Source organism: Homo sapiens, chromosome 7, assembly GCF_000001405.40.
Source record: "Homo sapiens chromosome 7, GRCh38.p14 Primary Assembly".
Lineage (NCBI taxonomy): Eukaryota > Metazoa > Chordata > Mammalia > Primates > Hominidae > Homo > Homo sapiens.
Genome location: NC_000007.14, coordinates 74,570,897 through 74,588,716, shown reverse-complemented (window position 1 = coordinate 74,588,716; position 17,820 = coordinate 74,570,897). Strand labels below are relative to the sequence as shown.

The 17,820-nt window shown below is 51.7% G+C and overlaps 1 protein-coding gene across 20 annotated transcripts in view, besides 6 other annotated features; it reads right to left on the bottom strand.

Moving 5' to 3' along the window:
- Positions 1-17,820, bottom strand: part of GTF2IRD1 (GTF2I repeat domain containing 1) — a 148,700-nt gene that overhangs the window by 13,889 nt on the left and 116,991 nt on the right. The gene's annotated exons all lie outside the window — the stretch shown is intronic.
- Positions 343-929: an enhancer, noted in NCBI's record as "H3K27ac-H3K4me1 hESC enhancer chr7:74002117-74002703 (GRCh37/hg19 assembly coordinates)". NCBI's record gives its function as "activates a minimal SCP1, AML or CMV promoter by ChIP-STARR-seq in naive H9 embryonic stem cells {active_cell/tissue: H9 hESC(naive)}" and the evidence as "EXISTENCE:reporter gene assay evidence [ECO:0000049][PMID:30033119]".
- Positions 634-793: an enhancer, noted in NCBI's record as "active region_26164". NCBI's record gives its function as "activates an Ori minimal core promoter by ATAC-STARR-seq in GM12878 lymphoblastoid cells {active_cell/tissue: GM12878}" and the evidence as "EXISTENCE:reporter gene assay evidence [ECO:0000049][PMID:35858748]".
- Positions 814-863: an enhancer, noted in NCBI's record as "active region_26163". NCBI's record gives its function as "activates an Ori minimal core promoter by ATAC-STARR-seq in GM12878 lymphoblastoid cells {active_cell/tissue: GM12878}" and the evidence as "EXISTENCE:reporter gene assay evidence [ECO:0000049][PMID:35858748]".
- Positions 930-1,517: an enhancer, noted in NCBI's record as "H3K27ac-H3K4me1 hESC enhancer chr7:74001529-74002116 (GRCh37/hg19 assembly coordinates)". NCBI's record gives its function as "activates a minimal SCP1, AML or CMV promoter by ChIP-STARR-seq in naive H9 embryonic stem cells {active_cell/tissue: H9 hESC(naive)}" and the evidence as "EXISTENCE:reporter gene assay evidence [ECO:0000049][PMID:30033119]".
- Positions 6,943-7,237: a silencer, noted in NCBI's record as "tiled region #2459; HepG2 Repressive DNase matched - State 5:Enh, and K562 Repressive non-DNase unmatched - State 7:EnhWF". NCBI's record gives its function as "represses a minimal TATA promoter and a strong SV40 promoter by Sharpr-MPRA in HepG2 and K562 cells {active_cell/tissue: HepG2 | K562}" and the evidence as "EXISTENCE:reporter gene assay evidence [ECO:0000049][PMID:27701403]".
- Positions 7,200-7,701: an enhancer, noted in NCBI's record as "H3K4me1 hESC enhancer chr7:73995345-73995846 (GRCh37/hg19 assembly coordinates)". NCBI's record gives its function as "activates a minimal SCP1, AML or CMV promoter by ChIP-STARR-seq in primed H9 embryonic stem cells {active_cell/tissue: H9 hESC(primed)}" and the evidence as "EXISTENCE:reporter gene assay evidence [ECO:0000049][PMID:30033119]".

Here is a 17,820-nt window from a genome sequence, read left to right as displayed (position 1 = left end):
GTACTAAAAATACAAAAAGATTAGCTGGGCATGTGGCGGGCACCTGTAGTCCCAGCTACTCAGGAGGGTGAGGTAGGAGAATCACTTGAGCCTGGAAGGTGGAGGTTGCAGTGAGCAGAGATCACGTCACTGCAGTCCAGCCCGGGAGACAGAGACCTGTCTCAAACAAAAATGAAAACAAACAAACAAACAAAAAATGGGCTCCAAAAAGGCAGGTAGGAGTTTGTGAAGGACGGAGTGGCAGTGGGAAGCCACCAGGACAGAAGGACCAGCCATGCATAGGCACTCAAGCGTGAAAGATCTTGTGTTGGCTGGGTGCGGTGGCTCACGCCTGTAACCCCAGCACTGAGGGAGGCTGAGATTGGCAGATCACCAGAGGTCAGGAGTTTGAGACCACCCTGGCCAACATAGCGAAACCCCGTCTCTACTAAAAATACAAAAATTAGCCGAGTGTGGTGGCGGGCACCTGTAATCCCAACTACTCAAGAGATTGAGACAGGAGAACTGCTTGAACCCAGGAGGCGGAGGTTGCAGTGAGCTGAGATCGCGCCACTGCACTCCAGCCTGGGCAACAAGAGCGAAACTCCGTCTCAAAAAAAAAAAAAAAAAAGAAAAGAAAAGAAAAAAAGAAAAAGATCCCATGTCCTGGAAGTGGCTGAACTTTGGGGTGGTACAGGGGAGATGACTGATGGGCCTAGTGGGGTCCATGCACAGGGGCCGGTGTCACTGTGCTGGGCTGTTGGAAATCCCCTGACCGCTCGCTGACCAAGGTCTGTGAATGGGAAACAGACCGTGTCTGGGAGTGTGGGGGCCGTGCATTCTCCCTGCTCACTGCCCAGGTAACCGTCACGGCCTATCTGCTGCTTGAGCCCTGGTGTGCTCTGCTCTCCCCTCCCTGTAGCCTAGAGGAGCTGCTGGAGTCAGTTAGCCCTGGAGATGGGGCCTGAGCTGGGCTGTAAGGCTGAGTGGGGGTTGGGCTGGAGATGGGGTCTGGGGCAGAGCTCTGCAGCAGCCTGTGGGCTTGTGCCAGGGTTGAGGACGGGGCTGGGATTGCAGGAAGGGTGGTTTGCATGTCCAACAGGAAATCTCCTCTCTGAGAAGCGTGGGGTCACATGGGCTGGGCCTCTTGGGGCAGGCGGGTTCGGTAAGGGTGAGATGTTGTGGGGTGGAGCTAGACGCAGGCAGGGAGCCAGGGCCGGATGATTCAGGGCAGAGCAGACTGATGGGTCTTTGGAGCAAAATGACTCCTGTTTTTTTTTCTTTTTGTTTTTCCAAGACAGAGTCTCACTCTGTTGCCCAGGCTGGAGTGCAGTGGCACGGTCTCGGTTCGCTGCAACCTCTGCCTCCCAGGTTCAAGCCATTCTCCTGCGTCAGCCTCCTGAGAGCTGGGACTACAGGCGCCTGCCACAACGTCCGGTTAATTTTTGTATATTTAGTAGAGATGGGGTTTTGCCATATTGGCCAGGGTGGTCTCAAACTCCTGAGCTCAGGTGATCTGCCTGCCTCGGTCTCCCAAAGTGCTGGGATTACAGGCGTGAGCCACTGTGCCCAGCCTGACTCCTGTTTTTTGAGACAGGGTCTCACCCTGTTTCCCAGGTTGGAGTACAGTGGTGCCATCATAGCTCACTGCAGCCTTGAACTCTTTGGCTCAAGCAATCCTCCCCACTCAGCCTCTCAAGTAGCTGGGGCTCCAGGCATGAATCACCATGCCAGACTAAGTTTTTTTAAAATTTTTTGTAGAGAGAGTCTCTCTCTGTTGCACAGGCTGTTCTCGAACTCCTAAGCTCAAGCGATCCTCCTGTCCGCAGCCTCCGAAAGTGCTGGGATTACAGTTGTGAGCCACTGTGTCTGGCTCTTTTAATCTTGAAAACTCTGGGAAGAGCTCACTTCTGTTTAGGAGGCTGCCTTGGGAACTGCATCTCCTGGCGTGGTGCTCTGTGCTGCTTAGAGTCTGCTGACCCCGTCTGGGTGGCTTGGCCTCCCGTGCGCAAGCTGCCAGAATGGAGGCCCTGTTCCCCATGTGGGGGTTGCCCCAAAGAGCAGGGAGCTTCCCACAGGACAGAGGCTGGGCACCTGCTTGGCCTGGTTCCTCCTTTTCCCAGGGCTCCAACACCCACCACCTCAGGTCCTCCCAAACCCTGCAGGTCCCTGGCCTGGTCCGTCCACACCCACACTCAGCAATCTCTGCACATCTCTGAGTTGCTGATCTGTCTTCAGGCACGGCCCGCCAGCCCCCCTGCGTGCCCAGAGACACTGCAAACATCAGCCATTCCAGACAACGTCCTCCTCCCGTGTCCCTATCTCGTGGAGTAATGCCTCTAATTCAGCCACACAAAGACCCCACGCTCCACATCCCCTAGAACCCTCGTCTTCTCCTGTGACCCAACACGGGCCTTCCTTTCAGGACTAGGATGTGGGAAGAATCAAGGCCACCCTTGTCCAAATCCATGCAGACAACAGTGATGGAGTCCTGGGCCCAAGGACCAGCTCCTAGAGCCTGCAGGGAAGCAACAGCACATTCCATCTGTCCCCATGCCACTGAGGAATCTTTGGTGGCAGGATTCTCAGCAGGCATGGCCATGCATGCACAGAACAGAGAAAGGATGGCCTGGATCACACACATCACTGTGTGCAGATGCTTTCCTAGACACTGCAGCCAAAGACACAGAGGCTCAGAGAGGTAAAGAAACTTGCCCAAGGTCACACAGCCTCTAAGCACCAGGAGTACTCTGTGTCAACCCCAAAGCCCTGGTCTTTCCACTCTACCATGAGCCCTGGGTTTCCTGAGGTCTCAGATTCCTCTACAGTTTCTTTCTTTTTCTTTTTTTTTTTGGAAGAGTCTTGCTCTGTCACCCAGGCTGGACTGGAGTGCAGTGGTGCGATCTTGGCTCACTGCAACCTCTGCCTGCTGGGTTCAAGTGATTCTCCTGCCTCAGCCTCTCGAGTATCTGGGATTACAGGCACCCACCATCACACCTGGCTGATTTTTGTATTTTTAGTAGAGATGGGGTTTCACCATGTTACTCAGGCTGGTCTCCAACTCCTGGCCTCAGGTGATTCGCCCACCTCGGCCTCCCAAAGTGCTGGGATTACAGACGTGAACCACCATGCCCAGGCTCCCCTACAGTAGCTGTAGAAAGAAGGCTTAATCTTTAAGATAGTTTCCTCTAATCTGTTGCTCTCAGCCCACAATGCCACACCTCTGTCTTCTCCTGTGTCGGGACAGAGCGAGACTCAAAGTCAGAGCTCTACGAAACCTGCAGGACAGAAAGAAGCTTAGCAGGCCTCTCAAAGACGAGGCCCAGACCGGGCACGGTGACTCACGCCTATAATCCCAGCACTCTCAGAGGCCGAGGCAGGTGGATCACTTGAGGTCAGGAGTTCCAGACCAGCCTGGCCAACATGGTGAAACCCCGTCTCTACTAAAAATACAAAAAATTAGCTGGGCGTGGTGGTGCATGCCTGTAATCCCAGTTACTCAGGAGGCTGAAGCAGGAGAATCCCTTGAACTGGGAGGTGGAGGTTGCAGTGAGCTGAGATTGCGCCACTGCACTCCAGCCTAGGCGACAGAGCAAGACTCCGTCTCAAAAAAAAAAAAAAAAAAAACACCAAACAGGCTGGGCGCGGTGGCTCACATCTGTAATCCCAGCACTTTGGGAGGCCGAGGTGGGTGGATCACCTGAGCTCAGAAGTTCGAGACCAGCCTGTCCAACGTGGTGAAACCCCGTCTCAACTAAAAGTACAAAATTTAGCCAGGCGTGGTGGCAGGTGCCTGTAATCCCAGCTACTCCGGGGGCGGAGGCAGGAGAATCGCTTAAACCTGGGAGGCGGAGGTTACAGAGAGCCAAGATCGCGCCATCGTACTCCAGCCTGGGGGACAAGAGCGAGACTTCATCTCAAAACAACAACAACACACAAAAAACCCAAACAAACAAAAAACATGGGACCCCAAACTTACTATGCCAAAGGGAAATGTTAAGCTTGGGAACTGAGTCACGCAATAGCCTTTTGTTCCTAAACAGATGGCTGCAAGATAGAAGGCCACCTAGCTCCCCTGGTGGCCTCCCTCACCCTGGCCATGTAAATTCACAGCTTATCTTCACAGGCAGGGGACAAAGATAAGAATAGAAATCATTGCTCTGTCTACCCAAGACAAATGCCTATATGACTTCCTCTACTCTATTTACTTTATCTTATGTAAAAGGCAGATTTACTGAGCACAGGATAAATACATCATTAACTATTCCTCTTCCCCCTTTATTTTTTTATTTTTCGAGACAGAGTCTCCCTGTTTTCCAGGCTGGAGTGCAGTGGCATGATTTTGGCTCACTGCAACCTCCGCCTACCGGGTTCGAGTGATTCTCGTGCCTCAGCCTCCAGAGTAGCTGGGATTACAGGTACCCGCCACCACACCTGGCTAATTTTTTGTATTTTTAGTAGAGATGGGGTTTTGTTATGCTGCCCAGGCCAGTCTCGAACTCCTGACCTCAGGTGATCCACCTGGCTTGGCCTCCCAAAGTGCTGTGAGCCACCGTACCCAGGCCCTCTTTCCCCTTTAAATACCAAAGTCCTCAAAACTCTGGAAAAAAGCACAGGCCACAGACCCTATTGCAGCTTGAGTCTCTTTTTCCTGGCTGTGTCCTCCCCCATGGCAAAATAAATCTTTAAATTGATTGAGACCTGTTTCAGGCACTTTTGGTTTACATGGCCCACGGGGGTCTATAGCAGGGATCCTGACCCAGCTGGGAGTCAGGGAGGACTTCCCAGAGGAGGTGACCACCACACGGGGCCCAAAGCTCCAAGGATGTGGGCTCATCTGCACGCTGGGGCTCATCACACGGACCTCCAAGGCAGTTGTGAGCGGTGAGTAAGACACAAGGAAACTTGTAGTATCCTGTGATTTCAGGTGCTCAACATGCTTTAGCCAATCAGGAAACTTCCCCTCTTCCTTCCAAGTCTTGCCTGGTCTGGGAAGAAGTGCAACCCTAAACCAGGCTGCAGCTAACCAGGAGTGACACTACGGGGCAGTCGATAGGATACTATGGCAATTCTATATGGGGCACAGGTCCCAGGCGGTGGACCAGAAGTGGTGGGAGTGTGCATGTCAGGAAAGTGGGGCCGGGCTGGCTGAGGGGGCTGGCAGTTTGGGGAGGCGTCCTGACCACCTCTGGAGTGTGGGAGGGGTGGAGTGGGGCTAAATGCCTTTGTCAATAACACCAAGAACTGGCCGGATGTAGTGGCTCACGCCTGTAATCCCAGCAATTTGGGAGACTGAGGCCACGAGTTTGCAACCAGCCTGGGCAACATGGCAAGACCCTGTCTCCACAAAAAAAAAAAAAAAAAAAGAAAAAAAAAGAAAAATTAGCTGGGCATGGTGGTGTGTGCCTGTAATCCCAGATACTTGGGAGGCTGAGGTGGGAGGATTGCTTGAGCCTGGAAGGTCAATGTTGCAGTAAGCCATGATTGCCCCACTGCACTCCAGCCTGGGTGACTGAGCTAGATCCTGTTTCAAACAAACAACCAAACAAAAATTAAAAAATAAAAAACAAGCTTGGCACATACTACGTGCAGACACTGTGCAAGGCCCACAATATACCTTGTCTGTGGGATTCTCTAGCTCAGTCAACATCAAGCTCAGGAAGAACACTGATTTTTCTCTGTAGCTGTTCTTGCATTTTCCTACCTCTTTCTTTTTATTTAATTTAGAGTAAAGAGAATTACGTGGTTTTTTTTTTTTGGTAGAGACAGGGTCTTGCTGTCATTCAGGCTGGAGTGCAGTAGCTGGGACTACAGGTGTGGGCTACCACACCCAGCTAATTTTTCCATCTTTTGTAGAGATGGGATCTTGCTATGTTGCCCAGGCTACATTTTTTTAAATCGTGAGTTTTTGAAGGAAATGGAGTAGGGGAGGCTCTGGTGGGAGCTGGATTGGACAAGCCCCTGCTTGAATGCCTGCATACAGTGGGGAAAAGGGGGATCCCCAGGGCCAGGTATGGGGAAAGTCCCTGGCTCATCAGACTGGAAGGCAATCTTGATTCTAATCCCTAATGCTGTGTGGTGTATGGAAAGTCACTCAACCTCTCTGAGCCTGTTTCCACATTCCTCAACTGGGACTCTGGGCCTGCTGGATCTAATCTCACATATCAAAAAGCACTACAGGCTGGGCACAGTGGCTCATGCCTGTCATCCCAGCACTTTGGAAGGCTGAAGTGGGAGGATTGCTTGAGGCCAGGAGTTCAAGACCAGTCTGGGCAACAGAGGGAAACCCTGTTTCTACCAAAAAAAAAGAAAAAATGCTGGGCATGGTGGTGCACACCTGTAGTCCCATCCCAGATCTTCTGGGAACTGTGAGTGCACCAGAGGCAGCTCCTTGGGCACATAAGTGACTCACTGTCTGGGAGGGAACCTGAACCACAGGTGAAGACCAACTCCCCTGTCCCCTGCCGTGTCTGGGGACCTGACACTGGGTTTGTGTCTGTGCTCTAGCCGTGCCCTGCAGGGGAAAGGGCAACGTCTCGATCTGAACAGATATTCCTGTTGGGCTCTGAGGTGTGCAGGCTGGCACCAGTCTTGCCCGACAGGAATCGTGGCCCCCGCTGCAACCGAGACAGCTCGCCCACGCACCCTGGTTAGCCCTGAGGGAGAATGCTAAGATCCTTGCTAACCCAGATGGCCCAGCCAAGCTTTATTTATTTATTTATTTTTTTGAGTTGAGATGGTCTGGCTCTGTTGCCCAGGCTGGAGCGCAGTGGAGCAATCTCAGCTCACTGTAACCTCCGCCTCCTGAGCTGAAGCCATCCTCCATCCTCAGCCTCCTGAGTAGCTGGTGCTACAGGTGTGTGCCACTATGTCTGTCTAATTTTTGTGTTATTTGTAGAGACAAGGTCTCACTATGTTGCCCAGGCTGGTCTTCAACTCCTAAGCTCAAGCAATCCACCCACCTTGGCCTTCCAAAGTGCTGAGATACAGGCGTGAGCCATCGTGCCCAGACCAGCTGAGCATCTCGGAGAGCTGCAGGTGGGGTCATGAGTCCTCTTTCCCAACAGAGCCAGGCTCCTGCCACCACCACCAGGTCGCCACCAGGGAGTTCCCCAAGGACTGCTGTGGGCAGTGGTGGCCTCGGCCTCAGGTGGGGCAGGGCAGCTCCAGCATGCCCGGTCACCTTTGAGTCTAATCTGCTCACGGGAAAAACACGGATCAGAGAATCGCCTCAGAGAGCTGCTGAGGACACTGCAGGGGCAGGAGCAATACCGGGCCCTTCAAGGCCAGGGTCACAAGCCCAGTGGTCTACCCAAGACTGATTGCCTGGGTTCAAATCCCAGCTCTGCAATCAGCTCGCGACCCTGGGCAAGTCCCTGAACCACTCGATGTCCTCATCTGTAAAGCAGCAATGGGCCGGGCATGCGGTGGCTCATGCCTTTCATCCCAACACTTTGAGAGGCCAATGTGGGTGGATCAGCTGAGGTCAGGAGTTCAAGACCAGCCTGGCCAACATGGTGAAACCTCATCTCTACTACTAATAAAAAAAAATTAGCCGGGCATAGTGGCGGGTGCCTGTAATCCCAGCTACTTGGGAGGCTGAGGCAGGAGAATCACTTGAACCCGGGAGGCGGAGGTTGCAGTGAGCCGAGATGGCGCCACTGCACTCCAGCCTGGGCAACAAGAGCAAAACTCCGTCTCCCCCCAACCCCCCCCAGAAAAGGGGGTTTAGTTTACCGTCCGGAACACCAAGTCAGCAAACCTATTCTCGGGAGGACCTGCCTGAGCTCCCCTGAACCCAGGCTGGCTGTAAAGACACCCACAGTTGCAAACATTTCAGAGTGTTCTCTGTTTGGAAATGTCATAGTTAGGACTCAGTGTGTGTAGGGTTTCACCTTCATGTTTCTGCCCCCAGTGCTGTGCAGAAAGTCCTGCTGAAAGAACCCATCCCCGCAGCAGCGACCTCCTGCCCACTGCCCCTGGACAGTGACACCTTTGGTGGACAGGCCTTCCCTTGACATTTTTCCTGCCCCCCTCCTGCTCATTCTGTTCTTCGGTCTCCTCTCTCTCTTTAACGCTGGCTGGGCAACTCTCATCTTATCTTTACCAGTCTGCTGTCTGTTAGCCCAAGGAGTAACTGAAATTTGCCAAGGGGGAAAAAAAAAAGACAACCAAGCTCACTGAATCACAGCCATGCTATGTACACAATTTTAAACCAACTGGCTCGGGTGGTGCCTGGGCTGGCTCCACGGCTCTCTCTCGGGGCAAAGTGCAAGAGCCCTGGCCAGCCCTGACTCTCCCCGCCTAGTTAGAGGACTTCAGCTCAGACTGACGACCTCACGTTGGTAATTACGACCATTCACAGCAGGGAGACGCAGCCAGCGAAGGGCAAGGGCGGTTTAGAGGGGAGAGACTGCGATCTGTAGCAGAAGCGTGGGATAATGGTCCTTCTCTCCCCTCCTGAACCACTTCACAGAGCCCCAACTCCCTGCCAGGCCCGGGCAGAGTTCACGGCTGCAGCGATTGCACCACTGCATTCCAGCCTGGGTGACAGAGTGAGACCCGGTCTCGAAAAAATAAAAAAGCTACATTCAGGTTCAGCTTTTAACCCCTTGTAGGGCCTGCGCACAGGTTTAGCAGGAATTCCATCAGCTCCATTTCATGGATGAGATAACTGAGGCCTGGAGAGAGGAGGGCCAAGCTGCAGCGGGGCAGAGACCTGTGGACCTGTGCCCAGGCCAGTGCTCATGAGCCTGTGGTTCTTCTGCCATCCCAGACCTGCACCTGGACACTGCGTGCAGGAGGGACCCTTAAGGCTTGACCCATTTTGATCCCCCTTTTCCCCACTGTATGCAGGCATTCAAGCAGGGGCTTGTCCAATCCATCCCCTACCACAGCCTGCCCTATCCAATTTCCTTCAAAAACTCATGATTTAAAAAAAAATGTAGCCTGGGCAACATAGCAAGATCCCATCTCTATAAAAATGGAAAAATTAGCTGGGCATGGTGGCCCACACCTGTAGTCCCAGCTACTGGACTCTAGCCGGAATGACAGCAAGACACTGTCTCTACCAAAAACCCATTTTACAAAGGGAACTGTAGTTTTTTTTTTTTTTTTCTTAAGATGGAGTCTTGCTCTGTCGCTCAGGGTGGAGTGCGGTGGCGTGATCTGGGCTCACTGCAACCTCCGCCTCCCAGGTTCCAGCAATTCTCCTGCCTTAGCCTCCTAAGTAGCTGAGACTACCGGCACGAGCCACCACGCTTGGCTAATTTTTGTATTTTTAGTAGAGACGGGGTTTCATCATGTTGGTCAGGCTGGTCTTGAACTCCTGACCTCAGGTGATCCGCCTGCCTCGGTCTCCCAAAGTGCTGGGATTACGGGCATGAGCCACTGCGCCTGGCCTTCTTCCTCTTCCTTTTCAAAAAAAATTTTTTTTTAGAGATGTAGTCTCATTTTGTCACCCATGCAGTAGTGCGATCCTAGCTCACTGCAGCCTTGACCTCATCCTCCTGCCGCAGTCTCCTGAGTACATGGGCCTACAGGTGCATACCACCACGTCTGGCTAATTTTAACATTTTTGTAGAGACAGGATCTTGCTATGTTGCCCAGGTTGATCTCAAACTCCTGGCTTCAAGCAATTCTTCCGCCTCAGCCTCCCAAAGTGTTGGGATTACAGGGGCGAGTCACCAGGCTGGGCCTTAAACTTTTTAACGGATCTATGCTTCTCCTCCTCTGCTTTTTTTTTTTTTTTGAGACAGGATCTCGCTCTGTTGCCCAGGCTGGAGTGCAGTGGCATGATCTCAGCTCACTGCAACCTCTGCCTCCTGGGCTGAAGCGATCCTCCCGCCTCAGCCTCTTGAATAGCAAGCATGCCACCATGCCTGGCTAATTTTTTTGTATTTTTAGTAGAGATGGGGTCTTGCCATGTTGCCCAGGCTGGTCTCAAACTCCTGAGCTCAAGGGATCCTCCCGTCGTGGCCTGCCACAGTGCTGGGTTTACAGACATGAGCCATCGTGCCCGGCTATAAGTGTTAATTGCATTCTTAGTAACAGCAAAACAATGGAAGCAGCCCAATCCCCAAGGAGGGGAGAGAGAGGAATTGCATCATGGTAAAATTCCACTCAATGGAAGATTATAGAGCCATGAGAACTAAGAAGCTACAGCTACACACTTCAGCATTATGTCAACCAAAGCTAAGTGGAAAACAGCAAGTCCCAGACTCTATTCAATAACACGCCTTTGTCATAAAAGTAAAATTATAGGCTGGGCGCGGTGGCTCATGCCTGTAATCCCAGCATTTTGGGAGGCTGAGGCGGGTGGATCGTGAGGTCAGGAGATGGAGACCATCCTGGCTAACACAGTGAAACCCCGTCTCTACAAAAAATTAGCTGGGCGTGGTGGCGGGCACCTATAGTCCCAGCTACTCGGAAGGCTGAGTGAGGCAGGAGAATCACTTGAACCTGGGAGGTGGAGGTTGCAGTGAGCCAAGATCACACTACTTCACTCCAGCCTGGGCGACAGTGCGAGACTCCGTCTCAAAAAAAAGAAAGTAAAATTATAAGCAAAATGAAATAATTTTTGTTTAGGCAAACATTACATGCAATAAAATAATTTTTAAAAAATTAACCCGTGAGCCTGGCGTGGTGGCTCACACCTATAATCTCAGCACTTTGGGAGGCCGAGACAGGAGGATCACTTGAGGGCAGGAGTTGGAGACCAGCCTTGGGTAACATAGAGAGACTCTGTCTACAAAAAATTTAAAAGTAGCTGGTACAGTGGCACCCAGCTATAGTCCCAGCTACTTGGGAGGCTGATGCGGGAGGATTGTTTGAGCCCAGGAGTTGGAGGTTACAGTGAGCTATGTGATAGTGTCACTGCACTCCAGCCTATCTCTACAAAAGTAAAAAATAAAATATGAGCTGGGCATGGTAGCACGTGTGCTTGTAGTCCTAGCCACTCGAGGGGCTGAGGTGGTAAGGATGGTTTGAGCCTAGAAGGTCCAGGCTGCAGTAAGCTATGACTGTGCCACTGCACTCCTGCCTGGGCAAGAGGGAGACTGTCTTTAAAAAAAAAAAAAATTAAAAAAGAAATCAACCAGTGAAAAATGATTATATCATGGAGGAGAACAGGCATAGAAGACAGTTTTGGAAATTTGAATAAAGACCATGTATTAGATGACAGGGAATTATTAAGTTGTATAAGTACGATGATGCTATTGTGAGTATGTAAGATAACAGTGTTTTCTTAGGAGATGTGCATTGAAACATTTAGGCACGAAGAGTCAAGATGTTTGCACCTTACTTCAAATAGAGAAAAAGAAAGAGAAATTATGTGTGTGCGCGTGTGTGTGAGAGAGAAAGCAGGGAAAATTGGCAATATGCTAAGAATTACTGAACCCAGCTGGGCGCGGTGGCTCACGCCTGTAATCCCACCACTTTGGGAGGCTGAGGCGGGTGGATCGCTTGAGGCCAGGAGTTCAAGACTAGTCTGGCCAACATGGCGAAATCCCGTCTCTACTAAAAATACAAAAAATTAGCTGGGATAGGTGGTGCACGCTTGTAGTCACAGCTACTCAGGAGGCTGAGGCAGGAGAATTGCTTGAACTCAGGAGGCAGAGCTTGCAGTGAGCCGAGATTGCGCCACTGCACTCCAGCCTGGGCGACAGAGCAAGACTCCATCTCAAAACAAACAAACAAATAAAAAAAATGCCCAACCCATCACGGGCACTTGGTAACTCAGAGAATCTGAGCTCTTCTGTGCCAGGCACTGCTCTTTGATCTTTGCATGGATTCATTCATTTAATCCTTAAAACAGGGGGCCGTGCTCAGTGGCTCACACCTGTAATCCCAGCACTTTGGAAGGCCAAAGTGGGCAGATCACTTGAGGTCAGGAGTTTGAGACCAGCCTGGGCAACATGGTGAAACCCTGTCTCTACTACAAATACAAAAATTAGCCGGGCATGTTGGCATATGCCTGTAATCCCAGCTACTCAGGAAGCTGAGGCAGGAGAATTGCTTGAACCTGGAAGGCGGAGGTTGCAGTGAGCTGAGATCGCGCCACTGCACTCCAGCCTGAAGACTCTGTCTCAAAAAAAAAAAAAAAAAAAAAAAAAAAAAAAAGACAAGGAAATAGATTTTCCCCTAGAGCCTCCAGAAGGATCAGCCCTGCTGACATCTTTTTTTTTTTTTTTTCTTGTAGCCCAGGCTGGAGTGCAATGGCACGATCTCAGCTCACTGCAAACTCCGCCTCCTGGGTTCAAGGGATTCTCTTGCCTCAGCCTCCCGAGTAGCTGGGATTACAAGTGCGCACCACCACACCTGGCTAATTTTTGTATTTTTAGTAGAGATGGGGTTTTACCACGTTGGCCAGGCTGGTCTCGAACTCCTGATCTCAAGTGATTCGCCCGCCTCAGCCTCCCGAAGTGCTAGGATTACAGTCGTGAGCCACTGCACCTGGCCCCTGACACCTTGACATTAGCCTTGGAAGACTCATTTCAGACTTCTGATCTCCAAAACTGTAAGGCAATAAATTTGTGTTGTTTGAAGCCACTACGTTTAGGTAATTTATTTATTTTTTTGAGACAGGGTCTCACTCTGTTTCCCACGCTGGAGTTCAGTGGCACAATCGTGGCTCACTGCAGCCTGACCTCCTGAGCTCAAGTCATCCTCCCACCTCAGCCTCCCTAGTAGCTGGGACCACAGGTGTGCACTACGTGCAGCTATTTTTTTTTTTTTAGAGATGGGGTCTTGCTATGTTGCCCAGGCTTGTCTCGAACTCCTGGGCTCAAGTGACCCTTCTGTCTCAGCCTTCCAGAGTGCTGGCGTGAGCCACTGGACCCGGCCTGTTTTAAGGCTTGAAATACCAGTTATAAATTCATGATTCCCCAAATCATATCTCAAGCCTGGACTGCTCCCCTGAGCCCCAACTTGCTTCCAACTTCGACTGGATGAGACCCCAGATTGAACACGCCTGATCCGCCACCTCCTGCCCCACCAGCTTCTCCTGCATCTTCCCTGTCTCCACCCACAGCACCTCCGTCCTTCCCCAAGTTCAGCCTGAACCTCTGAAGTCAAAGTCAGCTCCTCATTTTCTCACAGCTTATATCAGCACATTCTGTTGGCTTCAGCCAACTCACCTAAGAGTGGGTGACTCACCACCCCACTGCCGCCACAGGCGTCGCCTGGATTATTACAACCTCCTTATGTCTCTCCACCCTTGTCTGTCCTCAAGCCAGCAACCAGAGGGATTCTGTTAAAACAAGCTGGATCCTGTTACCCTCTGCTCAGAACTGCACCGACTCTAAGCTCACTCTGAGCAAAAGTCAAAATCCTTATCTGGCCATGTACCATCTTCCCTGTCCATCTCCATCTCATCTCTCACTTCCCCTGACCTTCCTCTGATACCTTGGCAGGTGACCTCAGGGGCTTTGCAGCTGCTGTTCTCTCTGCCTGCAATGCTGTTCCCTGCTGCCCCTTCAGGCCTTTAAAACTAAGGCCTCCTTCTGGTCATCACCTAAATAATGTTGCAATCTCCTAAAAATAAATACAATTGCTCCCATGGTTTACGCTTTGCAGATTTTCTGTTTATCCCCCCGCCCCACCATGTAGGCTCCGTGAGGCTGGGTTTTTTTTGTTTTTTTGTATTTTGAGACGGAGTTTCGCTCTTGTTGCCCAAGCTGGAGCGCAATGGCGCAATCTCGGCTCACTGCAACTTCCACCTCCCGGGTTCAAGCGATTCTCCTGCCTCAGCCTCCCAAGTAGCTGGGATTATAGGTGTGTGTCATGATGCTGGGCTAATTTTTTGTATTTTTAGTAGAAACGGAGTTTCACCATGTTAGCCAGGCTGGTCTCAAACTCCTGACCTTAGGTGATCCGCCCACCTCAGCCTCCCGAAGTGCTGGGATTACAGACGTGAACCACTGCACTCAGCCGGGTTTTTTTTTTTTTTTAATCAGTGTTGATTAAAAGTCCAGCATAGGCCGGGCACGGTGGCTCACATCTGTAATCCCAGTACTTTGGAAGTTAGAGGTGTGTGGATTACTTGAGCCCAGGAGTTCCAGACCAGCCTGGGAAACATGGCAAAACCCCGTCTCTACAAAAAAATACAAAAATTAGCCTGGCACGGTGGTGCACGCCTCCAGTCCCAGCTACTTGGGAGGCTGAGGCAGGAGGATCACTTGAGCTTAGGGAGGTCGAGGATGCAGTGAGCCGTGATCGTGCTACTGCACTCCAGCCTGAGTGACAGAGAGAGACCCTGCCTTAAAAAAAAAAAAAAAAAAAAATTCCAGTATCTAGGCCCGGTGTAGTGGCTCACGCCTGTAATCCCAGCACTTTGGGAAACCAAGGCGGTGAGATCCCTTGAAGCCAGGAGTTCTAGACCAGCCTGGGCAATGAAGCAAGATGCTGTCCTACAAAAATATTAAATAAGAATAATGAGGCCGGGCTCAGTGGCTCACACCAGTAATCCCGGCACTTTGGGAGGTCGAGGCAGGTGGATCACCTGAGGTCAGGAGTTCGAGACCAGCCTGGCCAACATGGTGAAATCCAGTCTCTACTAAAAATACAAAAAAAAAAAAAAAAAAAAAAATTAGCTTGGTGTGGTGGTGCATGCCTGTAATCCCAGATGCTCAGGAGGCTAAGGCAGGAGAATTGCTTGAACCCGGGAGGCGGAGGTTGCAGTGAGCTGAGATTGCACTGCTGCACTCCAGCCTGGGCAATAAGAGCGCAACTCTGTCTCAAAGACAAAACAAAACAGAAACAAACAAAAAGAATAATGAAATAATAATAAAAGACCAGTATCTGGCACAGTGCTGGCCCCAGTGAGACACCTGGGCCTGTGCACAAATGAGTGACTGCACCTGCGCCCCCAAGGCCTCTGTTGGGGCCACACGAAGTCTGCTGTGGGTGGTGCTGAGCCCTCTCCATGACACGAAGGTTCTTAGAGGGCTAGGCCTGCATGGCCCCCAACCTCCACCTCCCTCCTCTTTTGTCCCCACACCCCTCCCCACAAGGCTGGAAGGATCGGGTACACCCAGTAAACCACATGTGCTGAGCCATGGTTACCACCCTGCCCCTGCTCTACTTCTATGGCTCAGACACACGCATCAGCTTCTGTTCTGCACAAGGTGCCTGGCGACCCCTCGGTGCTGATCTCATTCCAGCCCAAATAAAGGTGCTGGTTGCTCTTGTCAGCTTGGGTGGTCTTCGCTGGGGAAAGGGTTTCTGGGAGGCTTTCTGGGATGTTGCAAAAGACTCTAAAGGCGCCCCCAACCCTGCTCCCTTTCGGGTCCGGAAAGCCCCTGTCTATTTTAAATTTTAATCGTTTTTTTTTTTTTTGAGAGAAGGTCTTGCTCTGTTGCCCAGGCTGGTGGGCAGTGGCACGATCACGGCTCACCACAGCCTCAACCTCCTGGGCTCAAGTGAGCCTCTTGCCTTAACCTCCTGAGTAGCTGGGACTACAGGCATGTGCCCTCATGCCTGGCTCATTTTTTGTCAAGATGGGATTTTGCCATGTTGCCCAGGCTGGTCTCGAACTCCAGGATTGCTCAAGCAATCCGCCTGCCTCAACTTCCCACAGTGCTGGGATGACAAGTGTAAGCAACCGCACCCAGCCTGGAAGCCCATCTAATAAAGGCTAAAAACCTTGGAGTTCCCTTCCCCGACGTGTGGAAGGTTGGGGGGCAGAATGGTGTTGCAATGACCCCAGCTAAGTCCCCACCAGCCAGAAAAGGGCAGGGTCTCCCCAACATGCCATCATTTCATGGCCCACTCTGCCACTTCAGAAGAAAGGAGGCGTCGGGCCAACTCTGGGCCCGGCAGTAGGGCGTCTCGTCTGCCCACAAAGGCCTCCAAGCCCCGCCCCGCAGATGCCAGCTCTCCCTGGGAAGGCAGAAGGGAGATCATTACTGAACCCTAATTAACAAAGACAAGCAGAGATAATTCAGTGGAGAAACATGTGGCTGGCGCTGGAATTGTGATATCTTTAGAAACTTGAGAAAGGGTGGCTTTATTTTGAGCTTTCAAGAGCTCAAGACAGAGTTGGAAGGGTAGAGAGGGGGTGGGGAAGGCTGAGAGAGGGAGGCAGGGGCCAGAGGGTGTGTGCCTGTGTGTGATTGGCGACAAGGAAATGACTCTCAAGTCTTGGGCAGCAGAAGGGAGGATCATGGAGGATGTCCTTGTTCTGTATCACGTCAAAGAAATGGAGACCCAAAGACAGTTAACTCATCCAAGATCAAAGACAGTAAGTTAACTTATCTAAAATCAGAGACAAGCAAGTTAACTTATCCAAGATCAGAGATAGTAAGTTGACTTATCTAGATCAGAGATGGTAAGTTAACTTATCCAAGATCACAGGTAGCAAGTTAACTTATCCAAGATCAGAGATAGCAAGTTAACTTATCCAAGATCAGAGATAGTAGGTTAACTTATCCAAGATCACACAGCTCAGAAGTGATGGTACTTCTTCCTGAGAAGGCAAAAAGGGACCTGTTCCTGTGCCTGCCGCTCTTCAGTCCCTCCCCATGTCCACCCCAGTACCCTCTGCAGAGGTCAGTCCTACACTAGCATCCAGGCCTGGCTCAGGTCATCCTCTCCAGGAAGCCCATCCCACCATAGCACCCACTGGGTGACAGGAGACCCCACAGAAGAGAGAGGCTTAGCAGGAGATCAAAGAGGACAATGACAAGTGGTGCTACTGTATTTGAGGCTTCTGGCTTTTCTCCACTTGTACCCCCTGAAAAGGGATCACAGCCCTGTGCCTGGCAGGCATTTCACCCACAGCTGAGCTTCTCAAAATGGGCCTCAAACAATTCTGGTGGGGGTGAGAGGTGAGTGTAAGTGGAATGATCTTCCTCGGTGGCATGTAATTTTTTTTTTTTGAGACAAGGTCTCACTCTGTTGCCCAGGCTGGAGTACAATGACAAAATCATAGCCCACTACAGCCTCCAACTCCCAGGGTCAAGGGATCCTCCCACCTCAGCCTCCTGAGTAGCTGGGACTATAGGCACACGCCACCATGCCTGGCTAATTTTTTATTTTTTGTCGAGACAGGATCTCTTTATGTTTCCCAGGCTGGTTTCGAACTCCTGGATGCAAGTGACCCTCCTGCCTTGGCCTCCCAAAGTGCTGGGATTACAGGCGTGAGCCACTGTGCCCAGCTAGCAGCATGTAATTTGACATAGTTCCTTAAACTGAGATGAAAGTGGAACGTTTACAGAGGAGACGATGTGGGGATGTCCTAGATAAAACTGGAGCCCACCAAGAGCTTGGCCCCGACCAGTGGGGCTGTACGGGTTCCTCCGCTATGGGGACGTCAGCAGAAGAGCTTACCAGGGCCAGGCCTGAAGGGCCCTGTCCATGCTGCAAAGCCAGGCCTCCCAGGCTGTCCCCGCTCCATCCTGGCCAGTCTCTCTGCCTCACCACCTCCCACTCATGACAGCCCATCCCTCCTTCTCACCTGGTCATGCACTCCAGGGTGGCCCCAGGGGAGGCAGACGTGGCGTGGGCAATTCTTCTCATTTTACAAGTAGGGAAACTGAGGCCCAGGTAGGCAAGCCTGACTTGCTGGAGTCACACAGGAAGTTGGCAGCTCTGCCACATCCCTGGGGTCTGGAGCCCCTGCTCTGGGGAAGGAGAGGTGGGGCGCTGCCTTCCCACAGTCCCCTCAAGCTGGCAGGGACTGCTGTACCCCCAGGGTGAGAGGAGAACTAAAAGGAGCGGAAGCTGGCCTGGGTCCGGGGAGAGCCCTCGTGTTTGCCCAAAAGGGAACTGGAGAAGGGTGGCTGGGCCCATACGCAGGGAGGAGCTGTGGGGAGCTGGTGGCGGGGCAGCAAAGAGAAGTGG